Source organism: Homo sapiens, chromosome 3 (assembly GCF_000001405.40).
Source record: "Homo sapiens chromosome 3, GRCh38.p14 Primary Assembly".
Classification (NCBI taxonomy): Eukaryota; Metazoa; Chordata; class Mammalia; order Primates; family Hominidae; genus Homo; species Homo sapiens.
In genome coordinates this window covers 139,316,145-139,342,185 of record NC_000003.12, presented here as the reverse complement: position 1 = coordinate 139,342,185, position 26,041 = coordinate 139,316,145, and the positions used below count along the sequence as shown (strand labels likewise).

Here is a 26,041-nt window from a genome sequence, read left to right as displayed (position 1 = left end):
TTAACTTAATCACATCTGCAAAGACCATGTTTCCATATAAGGTAACATCCACAAGTTCCATGGATTAGAGTGCAGTTATACTTGGGAGGAAGTATGGGGGCATTCTTCAGCCTACCCCAGATGACCAGGCACCAAGCAGATTTTTTCTCAATAATTCAAACTATGAGACATAGAATAGTCGACGGTGGAAGCTTGAAGTGAATAACTAAGTATTTAGGGTTTGGGCTGAAGCAGCCTTTTTCAGCAATGTGCTCACTGATGAGTGAGCAGGGAAAAGCCACTCTGCAGAGAGAGGCAGGAAAATGGAGCAGATCCTCAGAAGCAGAGATGGGAGAATATGTACGGAGAGAGATGGAGAAAGGTGGTGTCTTGGCCAGAGAGCTTCCCACTTTCCTTTCAATGACCTCTTTTACTTGGGGTACAGTGAGTTTTACTGATATGGAGTAATGAAGATTCCTGGTTTAAGCTATAACCTCAGGCAGATGCCCACATCTTTCAGAGCCCCAGTACCTCACCTGCAAAATGGGCATAATGACAATACTTATCTTGCAAACTTTGAGAATAAAGTACTTTCAGGATCTGATGTCTGGTGTTTCATAAAGATGGTGTGAGAAGGTTGTGTGGTGGCAAGTCAATTACTTTCTTTTTTTCTTTTCCGTTTTTTTTTTTCTTTTGAGACAGGGTCTTTCTTACTTTGTCACCATGGCTGGAGTGCAGTAGCATGATCTCAGCTCACTGCAACCTCTGCCTCCTGGGCTCAAGCAATCCTCCCACCTTAGCCTCCCAAGTAGCTAGGACTACAGGTGCACACCACCATGCCCAGCTAATTTTTGTGTTGTCCAGGCTGGTCTTGAACTCCTGGGCTCAAGTGATCTGCCCGCCTCAGCCTACCAAAGTGCTGGAATTGCAGGCATGAGCCATGGCACCCAAGTCAGTTACTTTCTGAGGATGGTATTCAGAAGTACTCTGGTTGCAAGAAACAAATCTTTCCTGAGTAAAACTGAAATGGGAGTAATTGGAAGGATACTGAATATCTCACAGAATTCAAGAAAAAGCTCAACAGCCAAGCCTCAGGAAGGACTTGAAAGATGGCAGCTCCAAGAACCCCAGAGGCAGGAACTCAAGAGATCTCTCCAGGAGGTTGCAGTCCTAATGGCTTGGTTCCAACTCCCTGCCTTCCATCCAATCTAAGTTCCTGGTGAGAGAGGCTGATTGGCCTGGGTGGGGTTCTGTTCACCACTGGGGGTTGGGGAGGGTTGGCCCTCTGACTGACAGTCCCAAGGCTATCTGGCTGCAGCTACTGTTAGGATTCATTAGGTCATATCTTCACCAGCTCTGTGGAGCAAGCATGGTTTTCTATTATTTGTAAAACAAAAGTATAGTGATGCCTCAGTGGGGAGTGCCTTATCCCACTCTCAGTGATTTAACAGGGTCTGGACTTCTGTTTTTTAAAAGATATATTTTATCCTAAGCTTTTAGAAGTCAAGATGGGGTTAGGGGATAAAAGTCAGGGAGAGGAATGGAGAGAGGAAGAACAGAGCCCAAGGAAGAAAGGTGACAGTCTGGACAACGCAAGAACCCCTGCGGTCTCCAGCAACCACACTCATGTGACTTCTGTAAGTCTTCAATTCCCTATCCTTGAGGCCTCCCAAAAGGTCCACATCCACCCCACTTTTGACTTCACCCAGAGTTTTTATTCTTCTGGCCCCTATTCAAAGTCCAAACCTCTTACATGTTCCTACAGAGACACAAATTCCATGGCCGAAATTCCCCTTTGTGTGCTGAGAAGGGACTGGTAGCAAGGAAAAAACCAAAGATCCAGTAACGAGAAGGGACAAGTGATGTTGTGGATCCCTGAGGAAGCTTCAGGGGATGAAGATTCTAAGTGGAGGCATTGGTAGTAGATGCAAAGGAGCCTTTGCACCAGTAGGCCAGGAGTTAAGGATGGTTAGAGTGGATACGTTTTGGGGAGAGAATCAGAGAGCCTTCCTGCCTCTCTGTCCCTTTTTCTGAGCACTGGAAAGCAAAATCATTGGTCGAGAAGAGGTACGGTTGTGTTGGGAGCTATAGGAATGAGCAGTTTGAAGTATCTGCTGGGGCTGGGCACATGGCTGGGATGCAACCTGCTGAGCAGTGGGACAGTCAGTAGCAGTGCAGAAGAGGAGATAATTCCAGAGAAAGAGGGGAAACATCAGAAGACATTCCTGGAAGCCTGTGTGAGGGTTTGCCTGAGCAAAAAAACCTTGAACAATGGTAGGAATGGTTGAAGATGTGATGGCCCAAGCCCCTTCCCTCTCACTCAGAGTGCACTGTCTTCTCATCAGCCCTGTTAGTCTTCATGGCAAATTAGTGAGGCAGACAGGGCAGGCACTGATATTCCCATCTTTTATATGCATAAACTGAGGCTCTGAAGTTATGGGTCTTGCGCATGACCACCCAATTTATTCCATGCAGTGACAAGGCTGAACTCTGAGGTACCTGGCAGCTCTTATGGTGGAAAAGCTCTGTTCTACATGTGTTCTATGGGGTGAAGAAAAACATTGACACTTCCAGAAATTACATAGACTGACTTCTGAGCCAGAATATGGCCCAAAAGAGAGAAGGAGGGAGACTGTCCTCCACCACAAGCCAGTGGGGGCGGATGAGTCAGTTCCTCTAACCCTGGAGTTATCAGTTTATCTCCAATTTTCCACGTGACACTCTGTCCTTTTTCTTCTGATAGCATCCACTGAACTACAATTCTACACCAAACTGAACACTTGAAACAGAAAATGATTGCCAGGGGCCAAGGCTACATCAGTCTGTGATGACAGACAGACCCTCTGTCCTATAGCACAGGGACATAAATGTCAAAGGCACTAAGGCTGGCTGCTACTTGCCACCCCAGCTGCCCCCAAAGGGACTTGGGCCCAGAGCAGTGGCCCCATGACACAGCGATCATGGATATGTTTTGTAATAAATGGCACTTGGCTCCCCTGCTCCCAAGATCTGGCTGCTGTCAGGTTTGGTGTGGAACATTTTGTCTAAAGGACATGCTGGCCTGGGTTGAAAGTAATTCCCATCAGCTCAGAACTGGGTGGTCTGTCACTAGGTTATTTTTCAATTTGATCTGGACTCAGGAAGTCCCTCAGACTGAGAACTGGTATTTTCAAAGGTTAATAAGCCTGTCAGAAATTTCTTTCATGGGAAAATGTGATGTATCTGATTGCCCTGACTTGCATGCAGCTCCCCCAGGTCAGGGGCCTGGGCATAATTTCACTTGAGACTTAGGACTTCAGTGTTTTGAAGATTCTTGGGGCCTGGCTGGGAGAGGCTGGCAAAAGGATGTAGTGGTGGCTGTTTGCAGGAAGCCAGAGCCAGAAAGGGAAAATGTGTGTTCTTAGGACTAAGTGTGTGCCTCTGTGTATGTGCAACCACATATGTGTGTGCTCAGCTGTATGTGTCATGCAAGCGTGTATGTGCATAGGTGTGTGTGTTCAGGGGATACATGTGGATGCATTTGTGTATGTGTGTGGCCATTTTTGTATGCATGCAAATGTGTGTATTCAAATATGTGCATGTGCGTATGTGTACCCATGTGTGTGCAGGTACATTTGTATACATGTGGTTGAGTATATGCGTGTGTGTGTGTGTGTGGCCTTACATGGGTGTTCAGGTGGAAATACATGTGTTCACATGTGTTTATTGGCTTGGGAATGGGATACATTTAATGGTAGGAGCACAGGCTTTGGAATCAGACAGACATGGGTTCAAATACTAGCTCCGCAACTTATTAGCTATATGAGCCCATTTTACTCACCACCTGCTAGTTCCTCCTCTTTAAGATGGAATGATAACAACTTCCACATAGGACTGGGGTGAGGGTGAACAGACAGGAAGCAGATGGTGCTCTGGCACACAGTCAGTGGCCATCAAGTGGTAAATAGTATTATCACTATTACTATCATCATCTTCATCATTCTCATCCTCATCCTCATCATCATCATTCTTGTTCCATCTCATCTTATTCCTTATGAATGTTCAGTGGCATTCATTCTCCTCCCTTAGAAACTGTCCAGGGATGCAAACGTTCCAGGCTGAAATGAACTGACTTGACCTAGCAGTCCATAGAAATGAGTGATCAAACGAAGTCCCCTCACCCCTTGTGACTTTTGCTACTTTAGCAAATCACAATTTCCCCATCAGCTGAATTGTACCAGTAAACATCCTTGCTCAGTGAGTTTCCTTCTATGCTGGTAATTCTTGTAGGGATGAAAGTAATCAAACATTTGTTGACCACCTTCTGCACACTCAGACCTGAGACAAACCCTGTGGAAAATACGGAAAGAGAATACAGATATCCCGAACCTCAACAATTTCCCAGTGGAGTTTTGTTTTTTAAAATAAATAGGTTTATATTTTTATATAAATAAATAAATAGGTTTATTCAGGTATAATTGGCATACAACAAACTTCACACACTGAAAGCATATAATTTGATAAGTTTTGACGTATGTGTCTGCCATATAACCATAACCACAGTCAAGATAATGAAAATATCCATCACTCTGAAAACTTCCTCATACTCCTTGGTAGGTAATCCCTTCCTCCTGCTGTTCCCAAATAACTCTCTCCCCTGGAAGCCACTGCTTTCTTTCACTTTGGATAGTTTGCATTTTCTAGAATTTCATATAAAAGGCACCACAAGTTTATATTCTCTTTTGTCTGGCTTTTTGCACCTAATATAATTATTTTAAGATTCACTCATGGTGTCATGTGTATCAATAGTTTGTTCCTTTCCTTTCTACTGCTGAGTAGTATCTATCGTGGTTTATGGACCACAACTTGTTATCCTTTCATCTGTTGAGGGACTTTTGGGTTTTTCCCAGTCTTTGGTTATAACAAATAAAGCTCCTATGAACACTTGTGTACACGTCTTTGCACATATGTTTTCATTTCTCCTGGGTAAATATCTGGGAATGAATGGTTGACTGTGTTTAACTTTTTAAGAAACTCCCACATTTTTCTAAAGTAATTGTACCATTTTACATCTCCATCAACATATTATATGAGAGTATTGTTTCCTCAGCATCTTCGTCAACACTTAAAATAGTCATTCCTCTTAATGTTAGCCTTCTAATAAATGTGTTATGGTATCTCACTGTGGTTTTCAATTTCATTGGTCTAATGACTATTGATGTTGAGCATCTTTTCATGTGCTAATTTTCCATTCATTTGTCGATTCATCTATTCAAATCTTTTGCCTACTTTAGAAATCTAGTTGTTTGGTTTTTTATTTTTTAATTTCATGAATTCTTAAATATCAGAATATATATATGTATATTCTGGATACAAGTCCAATATTAAAATATGTTTTCAAACATTTTTCTCCCATTTGGTGGCTTACCTTTGTATTTTCTTTTTTTTTTTTTTTTTTTAATTATACTTTAAGTTTTAGGGTACATGTGCACATTGTGCAGGTTAGTTACATATGTATACATGTGCCATGCTGGTGCGCTGCACCCACTAACTCGTCATCTAGCATTAGGTATATCTCCCAATGCTATCCCTCCCCCCTCCCCCCTCCCCACCACAGTCCCCAGAGTGTGATATTCCCCTTCCTGTGTCCATGTGATCTCATTGTTCAATTCCCACCTATGAGTGAGAATATGCGGTGTTTGGTTTTCTGTTCTTGCGATAGTTTACTGAGAATGATGGTTTCCAATTTCATCCATGTCCCTACAAAGGACATGAACTCATCATTTTTTATGGCTGCATAGTATTCCATGGTGTATATGTGCCACATTTTCTTAATCCAGTCTATCATTGTTGGACATTTGGGTTGGTTCCAAGTCTTTGCTACTGTGAATAATGCTGCAATAAACATACGTGTGCATGTGTCTTTATAGCAGCATGATTTATAGTCCTTTGGGTATATACCCAGTAATGGGATGGCTGGGTCAAATGGTATTTCTAGTTCTAGATCCCTGAGGAATCGCCACACTGATTTCCACAATGGTTGAACTAGTTTACAGTCCCACCAACAGTGTAAAAGTGTTCCTATTTCTCCACATCCTCTCCAGCACCTGTTGTTTCCTGACTTTTTAATGATTGCCATTCTAACTGGTGTGAGATGATATCTCATAGTGGTTTTGATTTGCATTTCTCTGATGGCCAGTGATGATGAGCATTTTTTCATGTGTTTTTTGGCTGCATAAATGTCTTCTTTTGAGAAGTGTCTGTTCATGTCCTTTGCCCACTTTTTGATGGGGTTGTTTGTTTTTTTCTTGTAAATTTGTTTGAGTTCATTGTAGATTCTGGATATTAGCCCTTTGTCAGATGAGTAGGTTGCGAAAATTTTCACCCATTTTGTAGGTTGCCTGTTCACTCTGATGGTAGTTTCTTTTGCTGTGCAGAAGCTCCTTAGTTTAATTAGATCCCATTTGTCAATTTTGGCTTTTGTTGCCATTGCTTTTGGTGTTTTAGACATGAAGTCCTTGCCCATGCCTATGTCCTGAATGGTATTGCCTAGGTTTTCTTCTAGGGTTCTTATGGTTTTAGGTCTAACATGTAAGTCTTTAATCCATCTTGAATTAATTTTTGTATAAGGTGTAAGGAAGGGATCCAGTTTCAGCTTTCTACATATGGCTAGCCAGTTTTCCCAGCACCATTTATTAAATAGGGAATCCTTTCCCCATTGCTTGTTTCTCTCAGGTTTGTCAAAGATCAGAGAGTTGTAGATATGCAGCGTTATTTCTGAGGGCTCTGTTCTGTTCCATTGATCTATATCTCTGTTTTGGTACCAGTACCGTGCTGTTTTGGTTACTGTAGCCTTGTGGTATAGTTTGAAGTCAGGTAGCATGATGCCTCCAGCTTTGTTCTTTTGGCTTAGGATTGACTTGGCGATATGGGCTCTTTTTTGGTTCCATATGAACTTTAAAGTAGTTTTTTCCAATTCTGTGAAGAAAGTCATTGGTAGCTTGATGGGGATGGCATTGAATCTATAAATTACCTTGGGCAGTATGGCCATTTTCACGAAATTGATTCTTCCTACTCATGAGCATGGAATGTTCTTCCATTTGTTTGTATCCTCTTTTATTTCATTGAGCAGTGGTTTGTAGTTCTCCTTGAAGAAGTCCTTCACATCCCTTGTAAGTTGGATTCCTAGGTATTTTATTCTCTTTGAAGCAATTGTGAATGGGAGTTCACTCATGATTTGGCTCTCTGTTTGTCTGTTATTGGTGTATAAGAATGCTTGTGACTTTTGTACATTGATTTTGCACCCTGAGACTTTGCTGAAGTTGCTTATCAGCTTAAGGAGATTTTGGGCTGAGACAATGGGGTTTTCTAGATATGCAATCATGTCGTCTGCAAACAGGGACAATTTGACTTCCTCTTTTCCTAAGTGAATACCCTTTATTTTCTTCTCTTGCCTAATTGCCCTGGCCAGAACTTCCAACACTGTGTTGAATAGGAGTGGTGAGAGAGGGCATCCCTGTCTTGTGCCAGTTTTCAAAGGGAATGCTTCCAGTTTTTGCCCATTCAGTATGATATTGGCTGTGGGTTTGTCATAGATAGCTCTTATTATTTTGAGATACGTCCCATCAATACCTAATTTATTGAGAGTTTTTAGCATGAAGGTTGTTGAATTTTGTCAAAGGCCTTTTCTGCATCTATTGAGATAATCATATGGTTTTTGTCTTTGGTTCTGTTTATACGCTGGATTACATTTATTGATTTGCGTATATTGAACCAGCCTTGCATCCCAGGGATGAAGCCCACTTGATCATGGTGGATAAGCTTTTTGATGTGCTGCTGGATTCGGTTTGCCAGTATTTTATTGAGGATTTTTGCATCAATGTTCATCAAGGATATTGGTCTAAAATTCTCTTTTTTGGTTGTGTCTCTGCCCGGCTTGGTATCAGGATGATGCTGGCCTTATAAAATGAGTTAGGGAGGATTCCCTCTTTTTCTATTGATTGGAATAGTTTCAGAAGGAATGGTACCAGCTCCTCCTTGTACCTCTGGTAGAATTTCGCTGTGAATCCATCTGGTCCGGGACTCTTTTTGGTTGGTAAGCTATTGATTATTGCCACAATTTCAGAGCCTGTTACTGGTCTATTCAGAGATTCAACTTCTTCCTGGTTTAGTCTTGGGAGGGTGTATGTGTCGAGAAATTTATCCATTTCTTCTAGATTTTCTAGTTTATTTGCGTAGAGGTGTTTGTAGTATTCTCTGATGGTAATTTGTATTTCTGTAGGATCGGTGGTGATATCCCCTTTATCATTTTTTATTGCGTCTATTTGATTCTTCTCTCTTTTCTTCTTTATTAGTCGTGCTAGCGGTCTATCAATTTTGTTGATCCTTTCAAAAAACCAGCTCCTGGATTCATTAATTTTTTGAAGGGTTTTTTGTGTCTCTATTTCCTTCAGTTCTGCTCTGATTTTAGTTATTTCTTGCCTTCTCCTAGCTTTTGAATGTGTTTGCTTTTGCTTTTCTAGTTCTTTTAATTGTGATGTTAGGGTGTCAATTTTGGATCTTTCCTGCTTTCTCTTGTGGGCATTTAGTGCTATAAATTTCCCTCTACACACTGCTTTGAATGTGTCCCAGAGATTCTGGTATGTTGTGTCTTTGTTCTCATTGGTTTCAAAGAACATCTTTATTTCTGCATTCATTTTGTTATGTACCCAGTAGTCATTCAGGAGCAGGGTTGTTCAGTTTCCATGTAGTTGAGCGGATTTGAGTGAGTTTCTTAATCCTGAGTTCTACTTTGATTGCACTGTGGTCTGAGGGACAGTTTGCTATAATTTCTGATCTTTTACATTTGCTGAGGAGAGCTTTACTTCCAACTATGTGGTCAATTTTGGAATAGGTGTGGTGCTGAAAAAAATGTATATTCTGTTGATTTCGGGTGGAGAGTTCTGTAGATGTCTATTAGGTCCACTTGGTGCAGAGCTGAGTTCAATTCCTGGGTATCCTTGTTAACTTTCTGTCTCGTTGATCTGTCTAATGTTGACAGTGGGGTGTTAAAGTCTCCCAATATTATTGTGTGGGAGTCTAAGTCTCTTTGTAGGTCACTCAGGACTTGCTTTATGAATCTAGGTGCTCCTGTATTGGGTGCATATATATTTAGGATAGTTAGCTCTTCTTGTTGAATTGATCCCTTTACCATTATGTAATGGCCTTCTTTGTCTCTTTTGATCTTTGTTGGTTTAAAGTCTGTTTTATCAGAGACTAGGATTGCAACCCCTGATTTAGGCCTTTTTTGTAAGTTCTACGTTTATGCTTAACTTTCAAAAGAGATGGAATACAGTTATAATCACTTTTCATGTCCTTCTCTGCTAATTCTATGTGTGTGTCAGTTCTGGGTTAGTTTACATTAACTAGTTCTCATGAGGCATTATGTTTTTTCTGCCTTTATATGCCTGTTAATCTTTGTTTGGATGTCACACATTATGAATTTTACTTTTTTGGGTGCTGCATTTTTTGGTATTCTTATAGATATTCTTGTCCAGAGTGTAGTTAGCAAATTGGAAACATTTGCTCTTTTTGGATATTCCTTCACAATTTGTTGAGCCATTTAAATAAATAGCTCCATCTAGGGCTATTTATTTCCCATTACTAAGGCAAGACTTTACAAAGATTCTACCCAATGCCCCATAATTTAGGAGTTGTTCCATTCTTGTTGGTGGAACCAGGCACTATTTTCAGCACTCTATGTGTGTGTTCTGTCCACTGTTCCTAATCCTCCTGGATGCCTTCCCTGACCCACAGCTTTCAGGCAGTTTCTTCATACACATGCTCTGATCAGTACTCTGCTGAGTAATTGATGAGGACCCTTTGCAGATCCTGAGTTCCCTGTCTGTGTAGCGCTCTGTCTCTTTGGTACTCTGATTAGCAAACCCTAGCCACCTTGGTCTCCCTGAGCACTCAGTGTTATCTCCTGAATGCAGGGAGTTTTCTAGGCTCTGCCTGGATTCCCCTCTCTGTGCCATCGCCTGGAAAGTCCCTCAAGGCAGTAAGTTGTGAAAATAGTAGGGATCCTCTTGTTTGTATCCTCTCTTTCAGGAATCACTGACCTTCATTTCAAGCCACTGTCCAGTATCTTAAAAACAAGTTTTATATATTTTGCCTGTTTCGTTTCCTTATTTCAGGTAAGTCTGGTCCCTGTTCCTCTATCTTGGTTGGAAGTGGAAGTCCTCCTCAATGAAGTTGGCGGGACAAAAACACCTCAATGATACCATTAAGGAGTAATTTAAGATTGCAGGCCATGCATTTTCTAGACCTAGAATTTTCAAAGGATATTTTTCTTCTGGTTTAAAAACTATAGTTGATGAGGACTCACAAACTAATACAAATCATGAAGCAATTATAAAAAGCATGACATTCCAGGAAATTGGAACTGCCACTGAATGTCTAGGATGGAGGGTCTCCATGGCAGAGGATTTCCTAATGAGTGGTTGGAGTGAGCTAAAGGATGAGGCGGGCTGCAGAGACGTGAGCAGCAAGACTAAGCAGGTTCCCCTGTTACATGCTGTCATAGTATCCTAGCCCTGCATTGATAGTGCTTATGAAGAGTTTAATTAAATAATTGTTAGTTTACTTGGTTATTATCTATTTTACCTTCCTGGCTAAAGGCTCCATAAGGGCAGAGCCTTTAGCACTATATCTTCAGTAGACATCAGTGTGTTTGACACATAGTAGAAGCTCAAGAAATAGCCATTGAATAAATGGGTCAGGTGCGGTGGCTCATGCCTGTCAGTCCAGCACTTTGGGAGGCCAAGGCAGACAGATCACCTGAGGTCAGGAGCGTGAGACCAGCCTGGCCAACATGGTGAAACCCCATTTCTACTAAAAATACAAAAATTAGCCGGGCATGGTGGCACGCACCTGTAATCCCACCTACTCGGGAGGCTGAAGCAGGAGGATCACTTGAACCTGGGAGGCGGAGGTTGCAGTGAGCCAAGATCGTGCCACTGCACTCCAGCCTGGGTGACACAGCAAGACTCCGTCTCAAAAAAAAAAAAATACCCCATCGAATAAATGAATAAATAAATAATGATGAGTAGAATTAGCAGAGCAGGGCCCAGGCCTCCAGGCAAAGATGAGAAGAACCAGCCCTTCTAAGGACTGGAGAACAGCAACGATGATGATCTGGGGGGCGGACAGAGCCCACAGTTCATCCTTGTGTGTGCTCAGTACTTAGTGGCTGCTCACAATTGTGCAAGTTAGCAGAATGTTCTGGTTGTCCACTGCACTGTAACCAACTCTCCAAAACTTGGCAGCATTTATTTTGCTCGTGAATCTGAAATTTGGGTAGGGCTTGGTGGGGACAGCTCATCTCTGCCCTCTCTTGTACCAGCTGGAGTAGCTCAAAGGCTGTGCCTGTGATCATCCAAAGGCTTATTTGTCACATGTGTGCCAGTTGATGTTGGCTGTCAGCTGAGATCTCAGTGGGGGCTGTCAGGCAGAATACCTACACGTGGCTTCTCTGTGTGGCCTGCACTTCTTCATATCCTGGTGGCTGGATTCCAAAAGTCGGCATCTCAGGAGATAGAGAGCCAGTCCAAAGCCATATCACCTGTTCTAACCTCGTCTTGGAAATCACACAGCATCACTCCCATCTCACTTTATTCAGTAGAAGCTAGTTGCTAAAGCTGGCCAGTATTCAAGGAGAGATGAATTAGACTCCACTTTTTGAAGGGACAAGTGTGAAAGAGCGTGTGGGCATGTTTCTAGACCGCCCTGCAGAGTTCCTGTAGAGTGCTGCCGCATGTTGGGCCTGTGTACTGTGAGGAGGCCCCAGCCCAGCTGAGGGGAGGTGATATTGACACAGGAGTGGGTAATGATGGGGACAGCATGAGAGCCTGGCATCAGATAGTTTGGGGCTCCTAGCAGGGCTGCAGATCTGGGGACAACAAGCCCCCTCACCCTGAGAGCTGGGTGCTCAGTGGGGGAGACCTCCCTAGAGGAAGACATAATTGAGGTGTGGCAAGAGGGCAGGACACTTCTGGGAAGGAGGTGTGAGGTGAGGCTGTGGGGTGGTATGTGGCCTGTCCAAGCCCTAACAGCTGCTGAGTGGCAAGTGGCTTGAACCCATATCTGTGTGTTGGAAGGGGCTGTGTTCTTCCACTGCAGCAGCAGCAGCAGCAGCTCTAAGAATACAGTGATGATAATAGCAATGGTTCTTCCCAGGGGAGCCAGAGACCCACAGGCTTTGAAATTAATGTGAATCCCGGCTCTGTCTTGTACTAGTAGGGTGAATTTGTATGTGTTACTCCACTTCTCTGAAATTCAATTTCTCTTTTGTAAAATGGGCTTGATAATCCCCACCTTTCAGTGTTGCCACGGGGCTTAGTGATAATCCTCATGACATGTCTAGCAGCGTGGGGTGCAGAGAAGATTCTCAGTGAGTGGTACCCAGTACTACCTTTGCAGAGCGCTTTACCATTTTACATTACGGCCTTTTCATTTGTTCCCCAAAATCACTTGAGAGAGGAAGGGCGGGGATGGTCATCTTGGGTGCAGGTAAGGAGCAGGGACAGCGTGGACAAGGCATGTGTGGGCCAAGCGGCAGGCACTGGAGGCGGCATGCAAGCACCTAGCAAGTTCAGAGGTGCTCCAGATTCCTGGACAGCGCCCTCCTCCGCGTAGTGAGGGACGCGTGTTCTCCTGGCGGGGGGGCCGCTAGGTGGCGCTGTGGGACCGCCGTGGGGAGCCAAACGCTGGAGCAAGGCGTCCTCTCTGGCGATTAAACCTTAGGCTGCCCTTCCGGGCCACGCCCTCAGTGGAGCTGGGGCAGCCCGGCTCCGTGTTCCGCATCTCTTGGACTCACACAGAGACAGAATGCATTCTCCTTTTCATGCAGCCTCATGCTACCTTCTCCACTGGCACTGCAGACAGACCCTCCACCCTCTCTCCTTCCTGCCACAGAGGCATAGGGTCTCTCAGGACAGAGGGGGCTGTGGGAGCCAACAGCACCCGTTCTAGGAGAGAGGGTGACTTTGCTGCAAGACCCTGTCTAGTTCCTAAATACCCAAGGCTACATCTGGGCATGCAAACCCCTCTTTCTAATGCTGTAAATTTAGTGATAAATCTCCACAACCATTTCTTTGGGGAGACTTACTTTTCCATGAGGTGGGGGCCACATTTCCCTCCCATCTAGTCTGGCACTTGGTAACCCCACCTGTGCCCACAGGCCTTTGCCATGAATTTCAGGGTGTGGTAGAGGAGAGAGCCTGCGTCAGGAGCCCATCAAATCTGTAACGCAAGCTCAGCCTCCACAAACCAGTAATTTAAAGTCAGAGTCACTGCGGTAACTCCTCTGAGGCTCATCTGCAGAGTGGGGACAGTAATCCCTACTTTGTAGGGTTGCAGTGAGAAATAAATGATGTGTCTTGTGGATGTGCTTTGTCTGTTGGAAATCTCTAGCCACCTGTGAGATGTGGTTATCACAAAAAGATAACACCTTTGGACAGCCTTGGGACATGTACAAAGTGGCTGGTGTGGGCAGAAAGTGCCAGGAAGATGACAGCAGGGTGGGAGGGAGACATGGGCCTTGAGCCAGGTAGTCAGGGTTAAGGGTGTGAGAGCGAGTGGGACTCACACAAGCATAGTGATTGGGAAGTGTCAGCGAGTGGGATCTGGCCCATGTGGCCAGAAGGTGAAGACAGGGCCAGACTGAGGGGGCCTTCAGTGCCTGGACACTGAATCTGAACCCAGTTCTGCAGCCATCAGGGAATATTTATGGATTCTCAATCTCCATCTAAGAAGGGGCAGCCCCTGGACAGGTCCCTCCAGCAGCGGTGGGAATGGGAGAGGGGCACAGCCGGGAAGCTCTTGTAATCACTGTGCACTTCACCCTGCTCTTAATTGTGAAACACTTGATTCAAAACACTGCTCCTCCTCCAAGTTCTCCTGATGGTTGAAATGGGCTTGAGGGTCGAGGTCCGCTGGTTCTTTCTGTCTCTGGAGGACAGGCCCAGCTGGCCGCAGTAGACTGCCTTGACAGCTGATTCAGTGCTGTTCACACACATGCTTCACCTGCCCTGACACAGGAAGAGTGTCTCCAGGCTTCGCCTCCCACCTCCCCACGAGGCAGGAAGCCCAGCCCCAGGCCTGTCTGAGCTGTCTCAGAGAGAAGCTGGGTTATGGAACCACAGCGGCCTCCCACTCCCAGCACACACACACACACACACACACACGAAATGAAATGCGTGGTGGACAGGGAAAGCCACGCAAAACCACAGGACCATGTGCTGTGCTCACATGCCAGACACACACAAGAAGGAAGATATGCTGCAGCCAGCCTGGCCTCCTCCTACACAGAGTGGCAGGGTTGGCTTTCCCTCCACAGCAACCTCATCACCAATCCTTGGAACTGTTGGCCAGGAGGCCTTAGTTGTGGGCCAGACGTCTTGGCCAGTGGGCTCTTCTGTTGGGAAGTAAAGGAGGCACCTGAAATTGCTTTCCATTCTCTGCCTGTGGCTGAGAATCTTTCCCAAATGCCAATGTTCACAGTGCCCATCATTTTTGATAACTTTGGGTGAAACATCCCTTGAACATCAACTCTGAACCCCAGCAACAGAAAGCCTACAGAAGGAGTAGAAGGGCAAGAATTGGAGAAGTTGAGTTGGCCTAAAGATACTCATGGGGACTGCCTCTCTGGAGGAAAGTTTATTTCCGTGCATTACGATCCTTCTTCCTACAGGGAAAAGGCAGGGGAAGAAGGCAGAATCTGGGGCAATGGGAGGCTCGGTTTTTTTGGATTCCGGCTTGGCAAGATGTATGTTCTGAGATCTGAGAGCAATTTCATGTTATGTGATTTTTTTCCCCTCCCCGTGGTAGCCTGGCAAGACCCTTGAGCCAGAAAAGAGGCTGAGAAGCCAACTCCCATCTGTGTCAGGAGTGCTTTGTGCTTCAGTTTTTCTGTCTGCAATATGGGGATAACAGTACACACAGGCATTTCACAGGGTTGCCATGAGAATTAATGGATAGATGTAAAAGATTTAGAAAAGCGTAATGCACAGTTTAATGGAGGTGGTATTTTCCCCCCAGTGGAAAAAATAAACAGTATATTCTTACTACATACAAGTACAACCTCAGTCCCCAAAGCCAAGTGAGTCTGAGAAACAAAGCCAAAAGCGAATCTAGAGGGCGGGAGCTGGAATTCTTGGTGAGGTGGCCTTTGAGTTGAGGGCTTTCCCTCCCTCTGATGGCTCCAGCAGCTCCCCCGGCCCTGCCTGATGAAAGGGAAGACAGGCTCTGTTGTGGCTTGACACATGCCCCAGATGTTAGGTTGCAACTTTGTTCAGCAATTAGCTCTCAGAGGTGGCAGCTGTGTGGAAAGGGCCAGGGCTTGGAACCAGGGTGCCTGTGTCCCACTGCCAGCCAGGCCCTACACCAGCTCAGAACCCTTGGGGGAGCTGCTCAGCTTAATCAAATAGGGATAAAGCACAGGAGCACAGGCCTGCTCCTTCGGGTTGCTAGATTTACCAAATAAAAATACAGGACACCCAGATATATTTGAACTTCATATAATCAACAAATAATCATTTAGTACCAGTATATCCCATGCAATATTTGGAACATATTTATATTAAAAATATTATTTAATATTTATCTGAAATTCAAATTGAACTGGGCATCCTGTATTTTATCTGGCAACCCTACTCCTTCATGAGACTCTACAAGGAGTCCACTGGTTGAAGGGGACCTCTCTGCCTCCTCTCTGGTCTTAGTCAGCTCAGGCTGCCCTAACAAAATACCATAGACTGGGTGGCTTAAACAAAAGTAATTAATTTTCTTCTAGTTCCACAGGCTCGGAAGTCTGAGATCAGGGTGCCAGCATGGTTGGTCAGGTTCCGGCGCGGGCCCTCTTCCTCCCTGTAGAGACTGCCTTCTCTCTATGTCCTCATATGGCCTTTCCTCCATGTGTGCCCATGGAGGGGACAGAGATCTCCCTCTGTTCCTCTTCGTACAAGGCCAAAATCCTACAAGATTACAGCCCTCCCTTATGACCTCACTTAACCTTAATTACCTCTTAAAGACTCTATCTCCAGATACAGCCACATTGGGTGTTAGGGCTTCAACATACAAGTTTCGGGGGGACACAATTCAGTCCAGAGCAGCCCCCTCCACTGTTGTCAATGTGGCTTAGACTTGTGACTGTGGCTGTCAAGGGACAGTGTGGTGCAGTGGGAGGCCCAGGGGCCCATTTAACAGTCTTCCCAAGGTCCCCAGCTTCCATGGCAGACTGGGTGCTCTGCTTCTCATCCCTGAGCTGAGGCCTCCTCTGTGCAATGGAATGATGTTGGCCCTGTCTCAAAAGGGTTACTTGAGAGGAAAATGAGATGTTGCTGGTAAAGCACCTAATATGGCCATGCACACAGTGGCCCCAAGTGCACCGGCTACCTACCATGCCAGCTGCTCACCCGCCCCCATCATGCCAGGCGGCCTGCTGGCAGGCACCCATGTTCCCTGGGAGGGAAAGCCTCTCCCTCACTGTGGCCTCCTTGCACCTGTTTCCACTGCTATCACCATTCCAGGCTGCCAGTCTGGCCAGCTGCTGCCTCCTCAGTGCCTGACATGGTTTGGCTCTGTCCCCACCCAAATCTCATTTTGAATTGTAGCTCCCATAATTTTCACATGTTGTGGGAGATAATTGAATCATGGGGGCAGTTTCCCCCATACTGTTCTTGTGGTGGAGAATAAGTCTCCCGAAATCTGATGGTTTTATAAGGGGCTTCCTCTTTAGCTTGGCTCTCATTTTCTGTCTCGTCTGCCACCGTGTAAGACGTGCCTTTTGCCTTCTGCCATAATTATGAGGCCTCCCCAGCCACGTGGAACTGTGAGTCTCCATTAAACCTCTTTTTCCTTATAAATCACCCAGTCTTGGGTATGTCTTTATCAGCAGCATGAAAATGGACTAATACAGTGCCTGTCTGCCTTCCTTTCCAGAAACCTTGCTGGATATGCTCTCTGATGACCAGAATTCATCAGTGTAATTGGTCCCAGAATGTAGCAGAGAAATAGACAAGCTCACACCATCAGCCCATTCCCTCTCCAACCCAACTAAGGCCTTCCAGAAATCCGGCCCCCTCAGGGAAGCATAGCTAGTGTCCAAGATGGGGCTGGCTCTCTGCTGCCCCAATTTTGGGGCCCCAAGTGGCTTTCAAGACAAAGTATATCTGGGGATGGAGGTTGGTGGAGAATCATGAGACGGATGAGGACTCTGGGGTCTTTTGCTTTTGTTCTCTAAGCCCAAGGAGCAGTCAGGGCCGAGTGGCCCGCTGGGAAGTACAGGGGTTAAGAAACAGGAGCCTCTGCCCTGCCTCCCCCAAAGCCCTGGGCCCATCCCTTAGCCCTGCTGGCCTGCAGTTTTCCTTTTGTCAGAAAGAGAGACCAACCCATGCATGGGCCACCTCTCAAAATCATTCATTCATTCTTCCAACACACAGCCTTCTCCCAGGATTGGAGGAGGACACAGGGGACACACAGAGGAGAAGGACACATCCTTGCCATCGTGGGGGCTCCTGACCGGAGGGAGGGATGGAGATGATGCAGCCACAACGCAGTGGAAAGTGCCTGGACAGAAGCAGGCTCGGGACACACAGGATAGGATGGGGTCCAGTCCCAACGTGAGCAGACAAAAGGGAACAATGATGCAATGGGCATCATTGACAAAAATTTAAGTCAGCCATCTCAAATGTTGGCAACAATGTGGTACAGTAGGAACATAACATTCTGCCAGTGGGAAGCCCATTTAGTTCAACTTCTCCAAAAAACACTGGAGACATTCATTCCTTAAGACGCAGAAATCCCACTCCTAGGTATGTGCCCTACAGAAACATCCACATGTGCACCAGGAGATCTGTACTGGAACACTCCCAGCAGCAATGCTCATAGAAGCCCCAACTGGAAACAGCTCCCCGAGGGCCAGCAGTGACAGAATGTGAACGATTGAACAGTGGCACGTTCACACAATAGAATGCTATACAGCAATGAAAATGAACACAAGGTGGCTGCATGCAATAATAAGGATGAATCTCACAAGCACAATTTTGGCAAAAAAGGCCAGATGCAAAAAAAAGTGCATATTGCATGGTTCCATTCTCATGAAGTTTTAGAACATTCAAAACTATATTGCTTCGGGATGTGTACATGGAGGTAACAAATCTCAAAATGAAAACTAGGATTAGCACCAAGTCAGAAAGGTGGTTTATTTCCATCTAGTGGTTTCTCTAGGACAGAGGTTCTCAACTGGGGATGATTTGTCAATGTCTGTAGGATATCTGTCAATGTCTGGAGGGGTGTATTTGATTGTGATGACCCTGAGGAGGGGTGGGAAGCAGGGTAAACATGCTACCGGCATGTACTAGATGCTATTGGCCAGGGACGCTGCTAAATATCCTACAACGCACAGGACATCCCTCCCCGGCCCACACCCCCAACACCAAGGAATTATTCTTCCCACCATGTCATAGTGCCGACCTTGAGACATCCTGGTCTAGGAGAAAAAGGAAGATGCTCACATGGGGCTTCTAAGATCCTGGCAATGTACATGGGGGTTCATTTAAAGTGCATCCTTTAAGTTCTACATAAAGATTTCATACACTCTAGAATAATTACAGAGAATGCAGTTGGGTGTTTGGGAAGATCAGCAGGGAGACCCATGAGGTGAAGTACAGATCTCCCGGTGCACATGTGGACGTTTCTCTAGGGCACATACCTAGGAGTGGGATTTCTGGGTCTTAGCATCTGGCCGCAAGGGGAGCCCAGGACCAGGGTTGTTGCTGGGACACCCTCACAAAGCGCTTCAGATACCTGGGCAGTCTGACACTGGCCCGCAACAATCACCCAAGAAACTGGCACACAGAGGGGCTCCCAATGCTAAGGATGAGTGCCCTGCCCAGTGAGGTGAGTCCTCTGGGTTCTGCTCTACTGTGGGGTGCTGCAGAGGCCACAGGGGGCCAGGTAGAGAGAAGGCCTGGTTGGCCGCCCCGCCACCACTCTCAGGAGGGCCTGGGGGTCCAGGGTTTCAATGAGGCATTTTTGGTGGTACCAAGAACTACATCCTTTCACATCCACTTATGGGTGAACCACCCAAACAAACTCTGAGCTTTTTCACTCCAAGATTAATAAGGAAGACAGCAGCAACCTATACTAGAATTCAAACTCAAACTTGTGTTTGAATCTTGACTTGCCACTTAGAAGCAGCGTGACCTTGGACAAGTTACTTGATTTTGCTGAACCTCAGCTTCGTCGTGTGTAAAAACTGATGTCTATGGCATAGCGTTGGCATGAGGAAGAGATAAAATGATGTTGGTAAAATGGCCAGACCGGCATCCAGGGCATAGTAGTGGCTACTAAGTGGCAGCCATGACTGGTCACTGTCAGAGGCAGCACAGCCGCTGTGAGATGCTGAGGAGTGTGGTTGGCAGCGGCTACCATGGGCTCTCCACCTCACTCAGTGTCACTCGTGATGGTTCAGACCTCTTGTGTCTTCTACCTGTATCCCTGCTAATAGCCCTTGGCCCTGACTGATTTAAAAATTATTAGCTCCTTTGGGGAAACAAGGGAAGGAATTTGGGTCCAGACCTGGGCCAAGGCTTTGAAAGAGGAGCATGCTTCCTGGGGCACAGGCACTGGTGTGAGAGCCTGCATATCAACAGGAAACGAAGGGCCCCTCGGCTCTGCTTCCACCACCTCCACAGGCACCCTGATACTCTTGCCAGGGTCTCAGCTCTGTTTTGTTTCACAAAAAAAAGACCATGTGCCATATCAGTCAGGTGCCGAGCAGGCAAGAGATGGCACATTCGATTTAGGATCACTTGAAGGGAATTTAATAACTATTCAAATAGCATGACCTCGGACCTCATGAGTGAGATCTAGGGACACCTCAGGGACAGTACAGATTCTGAAAGGGTGGGAGGATGAAAGGTTTACCAGAACCTGGAAGGGGAGCATGGTCCAGGCAGGGGTGCCTGGAGGGAGCTGTGACCTTCAGTCCAGGGACATGAGCAGCCTGCCACAACCCTGCAGGATCTGCTAGAGGAATAAATAACTCCCACCCATTTATCCCCTGCCCTTAGATCTCCTGCTGGTACCTTGCATTGGTCTAATCTAACAAGAACACAGTGGACAAGAGAGTCTTTATGCAGTCCATTCTGGTCAAACTTCTGGACACAGAACAGGATGGCAGGAGAGTGGGTGTACACAGAAAATGCTCAGCACAGGGGTGTTTGAAGGGGGTTTCCTTCAAAGGAGGCTCCATTTGGAGGCTCTCTGTGGTGATGGGTCCCTTCCTTGTATGTCAGTCTTATGAAGACTGTTTCATGTCTAAGTGACATTTTAAAAATCAACTTTATTGAGGTGCAACTGACACATAATAAAACGCATCCATGTTAGATGTACCCTTTGGTAAGCCTTGGGGAATGTATACAGCTGTTGTACAGAACACTCCCATCACTCTAGGTACCCTGCTCCCCTTCCCCATCAGTGCTCCACCCCAGCCTTGCCTCTGAGCAGCCACGGAGCTACTTCCTGTCATTATAGAACGGATTTGTCTTTTCTGGAGATTCATATAGATGGAATAACCCAGCATGTACTCTTCGATGTCTGATTTCTTTCACTCTGCATGATTTTGAGATTTATTGTGTATACAGGTTGTTTATTGATTTCACCAATGAGTTAGTATTCCATTGTGCCAATATGTCATGATTTATTTATTCCTTCACCTATTGATGGACGTGTGGGCTATTTTTAGGTTTTTGCTATTATGAATAAAGCTTCTATGACTATTTGCAAAGGAGACTTTATACAGACAAATGTTTTCATTTCTCTCAGGTAAATATCCAGGAAGGAGATTGCTGGGTCATATGATAAGCCTCTGTTTAACTAGATAAGAAACTGCCAATCAATTTTCTAAAATGGTCTTATTTTTTGCAACCCACCAGCAAAGTATGAGGGTACTAATTGCTCCACATCCTCATCAGCACAGAATCTTCTGTCTTTTTAATGTTAGCCATTCTAGTGGGAGAGGAGGTGGTGATATCTCATTGTAGTTTACTTTGAATTTCTCTATGACTAATGACATTCGGCATCTTTTCATGTGCCTGCTGCCCATTCTGATATCTTCTTTTGTGAAGTGTTTGTTCAAATCTTCTGCTTTTTTTAAGTTGTCTGTATACTTAACATTGAGTTAATTCCCTCCAGTTTATGGCCTGCCCTTTTGTTTCTTAACAGTGAAATTTGAAAACCAGACTTTTAAAAAATCTCTCATTAGGGTACTTCTTAAATGTGACTATTAGGCCATGTAAGAAGGGCCAGTTCTCCTCACCCTGCCTCACTCCAGGGTTGCCCAGGTTCTCCTTTATCGCACGAGTTCTCAAAGGAGAGAAGCTGGCTGGAAAAACCGCCTCTGCGTCAGCTGAGAGGAGCCCACAGAGGCACTCTGCTTCTTCCCTTGGCCTAAAGCAAACAGGAAGGCACAGCTCTGGGGGCTCACGATAGGGACCCTGTTGAAGCTGCTGAGTCTTCAGCCACTCGAACCAGGTCCTACCTCGGTGCCAGGCCTTGGGCCATGATGCCCTTCACAGGCATCTTCTGGCTGACTCCTCACTGCCACCTGTGAGGTGGAGTCACTGTTCCCCTTTGATGGATGAGGAATCGGAGGCACAGACTAGTATGTCTGTTGGGAGACAGAAAATGTCTTTTTGACAAAGCGAATTTCATATAAGGCACTGTTAACCAGGGCTTGCAGAACAGAAAGGCAAAGGGGAATGCTGAGACATCAGAGGTAGTAACAGCAGGAATATATGAAGCCCTCTTACAAGTCAATAATAAGGAAGTAATCTAATTGTTTAAAATAGGCAAATGATTTGAGCAGACACTTCAAAGAAAATACAGGGATGGCAAATAAGCACATGAAAAGATCCTCAGGGTCAGTAACAGCCCCTAGGGCTGAGGGAACAAGGGTGAGAGTGTGGGCTTATAAAGATGTGGACACTTGGGAGGGGGCTGCAAGGCTGAGGCCCAGATTTCTGAGGGGGTGTCTCTCAGAGGACCCCATGGGACAGGTCTGCGAATGGGGAGGAAACTGACAGCTGGAACCAGCGGCTGCTGCTGGGGTGCAGGGCCATTGCATTGCTGGGGTGTTGCCAACAGAACAGGAAACAGACACAAAGGAGCTGACCCCTTCTCCATCCACCAGTGTTGCAGGCTCCCTCTAGTGCCCCCTCTTGGCAGAGCCTAACAAGGAGTTCTGGCAAGGCATACTGGTGATTTGTGGGATCCCAGAACATCACAGAGGGACGCTGGTTTGAAGCTGAGAGACAATGGCTTAATAACGAGCACCACAAATAAAGTCATTTGCCCAGCGAGTATAGCTAGTAAGTGGCAGAGTTTTTAACCCAGGAGCATATGACTCTGAGGCCAGTGCCCAGGTGGGGGTTAGAAGGAAACACTGGACAGGTGCCAGCCCCAGAGGCCGGGCTGACAAGTTTGGTGTGTTGGGCACTGGAGCAGGGGCAGAGGGCTGGGCAGGCAGCATCATAGTGAATACCAGGGACCCACCACGGGTCCTAAGCATGGAGCCAGGGCTGCTGAGGAAGCCGAGCTGGAGCAGTTGTGACACTGGGGTATGTGGGGGACACCGTACATGCTGCTGAGCTGGATCCCCATCTCAGCCCAGATAGGCAGGAAGACAACCAGAGTAAACTGAGGTCCTGGCTCTGGGCTCTGCACCCATGGGTCCTGCGATGCCCCTGCCTGCCTGAGTCAGGAGCTCCAGCCAGGGACAAGAAGAGCAGAGCCCAAGGAGCTGGACATTCACACCTCTCTCCTCATCTCAGACACAGCACCCTCTTTTTTGGCCAAAACCTTCCCAGGACAAAGCCATTGAGGTCCCAGATGGAACATTCCAAGATTTATTTGCAGTTTTCTTCTGAAACTAGCTTCTCTACTGTGGTGACCATGAGCCAGCCACCATTCCACCTCTGTGAGTCCCTCTTTGAGTCGCTGATTCCTAGAGAATGAGACCACACCCCAGTCTCAAAAGGTGTTGGGATGAGCTCTTGCATTGAAGTGTGAGTTGCTTTTCCCTCGCCCCTGCCAAATCCTCCAGCCTTCCCCAGGCAGGTCCATCCTGGGTGGTCAGCAGCAGGAGACTCCCACCTGTGTGCCTTGTTCCTCCCCTTTCAGTCGTCCTCTGGATATGCAGCTGCTGAACGGCGATCCCGGGCCCACATCCACATGTGGAATTCCTCTGAGCCAGCCTTCCACTGGGGAGACCTGTACCCCAAGCTTTCAGGTCCCCTAATGACTATCTCTCCTCTCTATGATGGGGCTGCACCTGGTCTGATCTCTAAGCTGTGGTACACCCAGGGATTAGGGGCACTGGCTTTGTATCCAAACAGCTGTAGGTTAAAACCCTAACTTTGCTGTGGGCTAGTTGTGGGACATTGGGCAAAGTACTCAATCTTTCTGTGTTTTATTTTATTGTTTGTCAAACCTATAGGCTAACATTAGTATGCCCACCCTCAGTGATTTATTAGGAGGCTTGGATGAGTCCAGGCATGACAGCCCTGGCACAGTGCCAGGTGTCTGGCCACTACTCAAGCAACGGAGCTGTTGCAATTAGAGTCGGCTTCAGATCTGGGGCTTCTAGGGTCTCCTTTGGTCCTCCACTCACCTCTAGGGCATAAACATCGTCTGTGCTTTTTAATTTCCCACACTAGCCCAGCAGGGAATTGCATCCCCTTATCTATGTCCCCTCCCCATCCAGCCCTTCCAGCTACAACATCAGCCTCTCATTCCCTGGCAGGGCTCAAGCTGTTATGATCTGGCTTTGGACAAGAGGAGCCGTTGATCCCCTCATGGACATCTTGGGCACTGGGTTCATCCAGGTGCCTCACTGCTCAGCAGCTCGTGGACAGGCCCTCTGGCCTGTGGCTTGTGGGCCTGTTGGACTGTAGTCCCAGCTGGCTCTCTTCACGTGCTCCAGCATCCGTGGGCAGCGCGATGCCTGCCTTCTCCGCTTTGATCAGGGCAGGGGGCTGCTCAACAGTTAGTTTGGGACCATCTCTGTGATGCATTTTGACAGACTTGGCCAAGCATATGCTTTAAATCCTAATGAGAAAGGGTCTTTTTAAGTAAAGGGAGCCCACAGCAGCCTTCAAAGCGCTCTCTGGACAAACTAGGGAGTATGATGAACCCTGGCTCTGTATCATCCTGCAGCCTAGTGTGCAAATGCAGTGCAAGAGAGGACCTCTAGCTTGTCCTTCAGTCCAAATGGGTGACAGCAGAGTTGAGTCATGGCCTGACTCAGCCACACCTCCACCAGGTTCAACCTCCTGAGACCTTTTCCCAGGTTTCCTTGTGCTCTGACTCTGATAGCTCCTCTGAACTGGTCCACCTTGGCTCTTTATTGTAAACTGCCTTAAGCAGACCTTGCATTCTTTCTAATGGCTTCAGAAGGAGTTAGATAATTTATAACTGACTCACCTGGAAAAACTTAATGAGATTTCAACTCAGTACTTCTGAAAAATAAATGATATCCAGACACAAGGACTTACAGAGTAGATGGAACATTCCAAACAAAAAGATTCCACCCTTATTTTTATTCTTTTGTTCTTAGCCCCCCTGTTCCAACAGATACAAACATATCATCGAGATGCAACTGCCACCCTGGGGTCACAGCTCTCTGGCTGACAGCAGGGTCAGCCGTTCTCCCTGAAGGTGCATACAGCCAGACTATGCCTCCAGGAAGTCATAGAAGGAAGCTTCCCTGGAGCCAGAATGTCCTTCTGTGTTTAATTTTCCCATAAGTCAGCTCTGATTATGAGGGATGGCCTCGTGTTTCATATATTCAGCGCCAAGTTCTGTGGAGCACCTTGCAGGGGTGGGGAAGCCCCCTGGCTGGCAGACGGGGGCAGAAGGGTGACTGCTCACCAGGTCACCCCCAGCACACACGTCTGCTACCTATCAGATCTCATTGGAGGAATGACCCACCAGACGCTGAGCTCATCTGACAGCCTCCTCCTAATGAGACCCAGGGCTGCTCCCAAGCTTGTGTGAGAGGCTGGATGGAGAGGAACCCCCCACAAACCTGGAGAAACATCTCCAAGGGAAAAATGATGTCTTCTTCTGAGTCTGCTTTGGTATGTGAAATGGTGGACTCCAGGAACTTCTGAGAAGCAGATACCTTCATGCTCCACCTTCTACCTGGGATGGTTGTTCTCAGGACCCTCAGGTAAAGCAGAAACTTTCAATATTTACTTATGACACTCATCTCCATTGCAGGCCTTCACCCTTCACATGCAAGAGGAGGCAAGCTCAGTTGAGTTCTCACCTCCAAGAACTTGCAGTTCTCCTGGGGAGGCAGGACCGATGCCCATGGAACAAGGTGTGCCAGTGAGCCCCACAGAAAGGGGCAGTTTCCCGCACCAGGATACACTTCAAAAAAGCACAATTCAGATTATGCATTCCCTGCTGAAGATGCTCCACTGCGTCTTATACCACTTGAGAAAAAATTCCAGACTCCTCTCCAATGTACTTCAGTCCCTGCCCAACTGGGCTCCAGTCAGGGTGGGGTTTTTTGTCGTTGTTGTTCTTCAAATGCTGTCCACCACCCCAGAGGTTGTTTCTTTGCTGTTCGTGGGCCTGGAGTCCCCTTTCCCCAGGTCTTTACATGGCTGCTCCATCTCTCCATAGAAGTTGCAGCTCAAGTGCCACCTTTTCAGAGAGCCCTTCCTGGACCGTTCAGTATAAATGAAGTTCTTTCCCCAAGTACTCCTGATGGCAGCAACTTGTCACAGTGTCCTTCTTTGCCCTTACCATGAGCTGGTATTTTTCTTGTGTATTGATTCACTGATTAATTGCTTCCTTGATTATCCCTCATGCTGCCCATTAGAATGTAGCTCCATGGGAGCAGGGACCTTGTCTATCTTGTCCTCCATGGTATCCTAGAATTCTAAGATGTAGGATAGCTTAACAGAGGAGACTCTTGAAATATTTGTTAAATATGTGATAAAAAATAAAAGGAAGAATCTATGCATGGCAG

At 46.5% G+C, this 26,041-nt stretch overlaps 1 protein-coding gene across 1 annotated transcript; it reads left to right on the top strand.

Annotated features, from left to right (window-relative positions):
• On the top strand, positions 1,313–26,041 carry LOC124909439 (uncharacterized). The gene is made up of 2 exons (XM_047449421.1): positions 1,313–1,616; positions 25,282–26,041. The coding sequence occupies exons 1-2, from the start codon at positions 1,488–1,490 to the stop codon at positions 25,690–25,692; spliced, it is 540 nt and encodes a 179-aa protein (XP_047305377.1). The 5' UTR covers positions 1,313–1,487; the 3' UTR covers positions 25,693–26,041.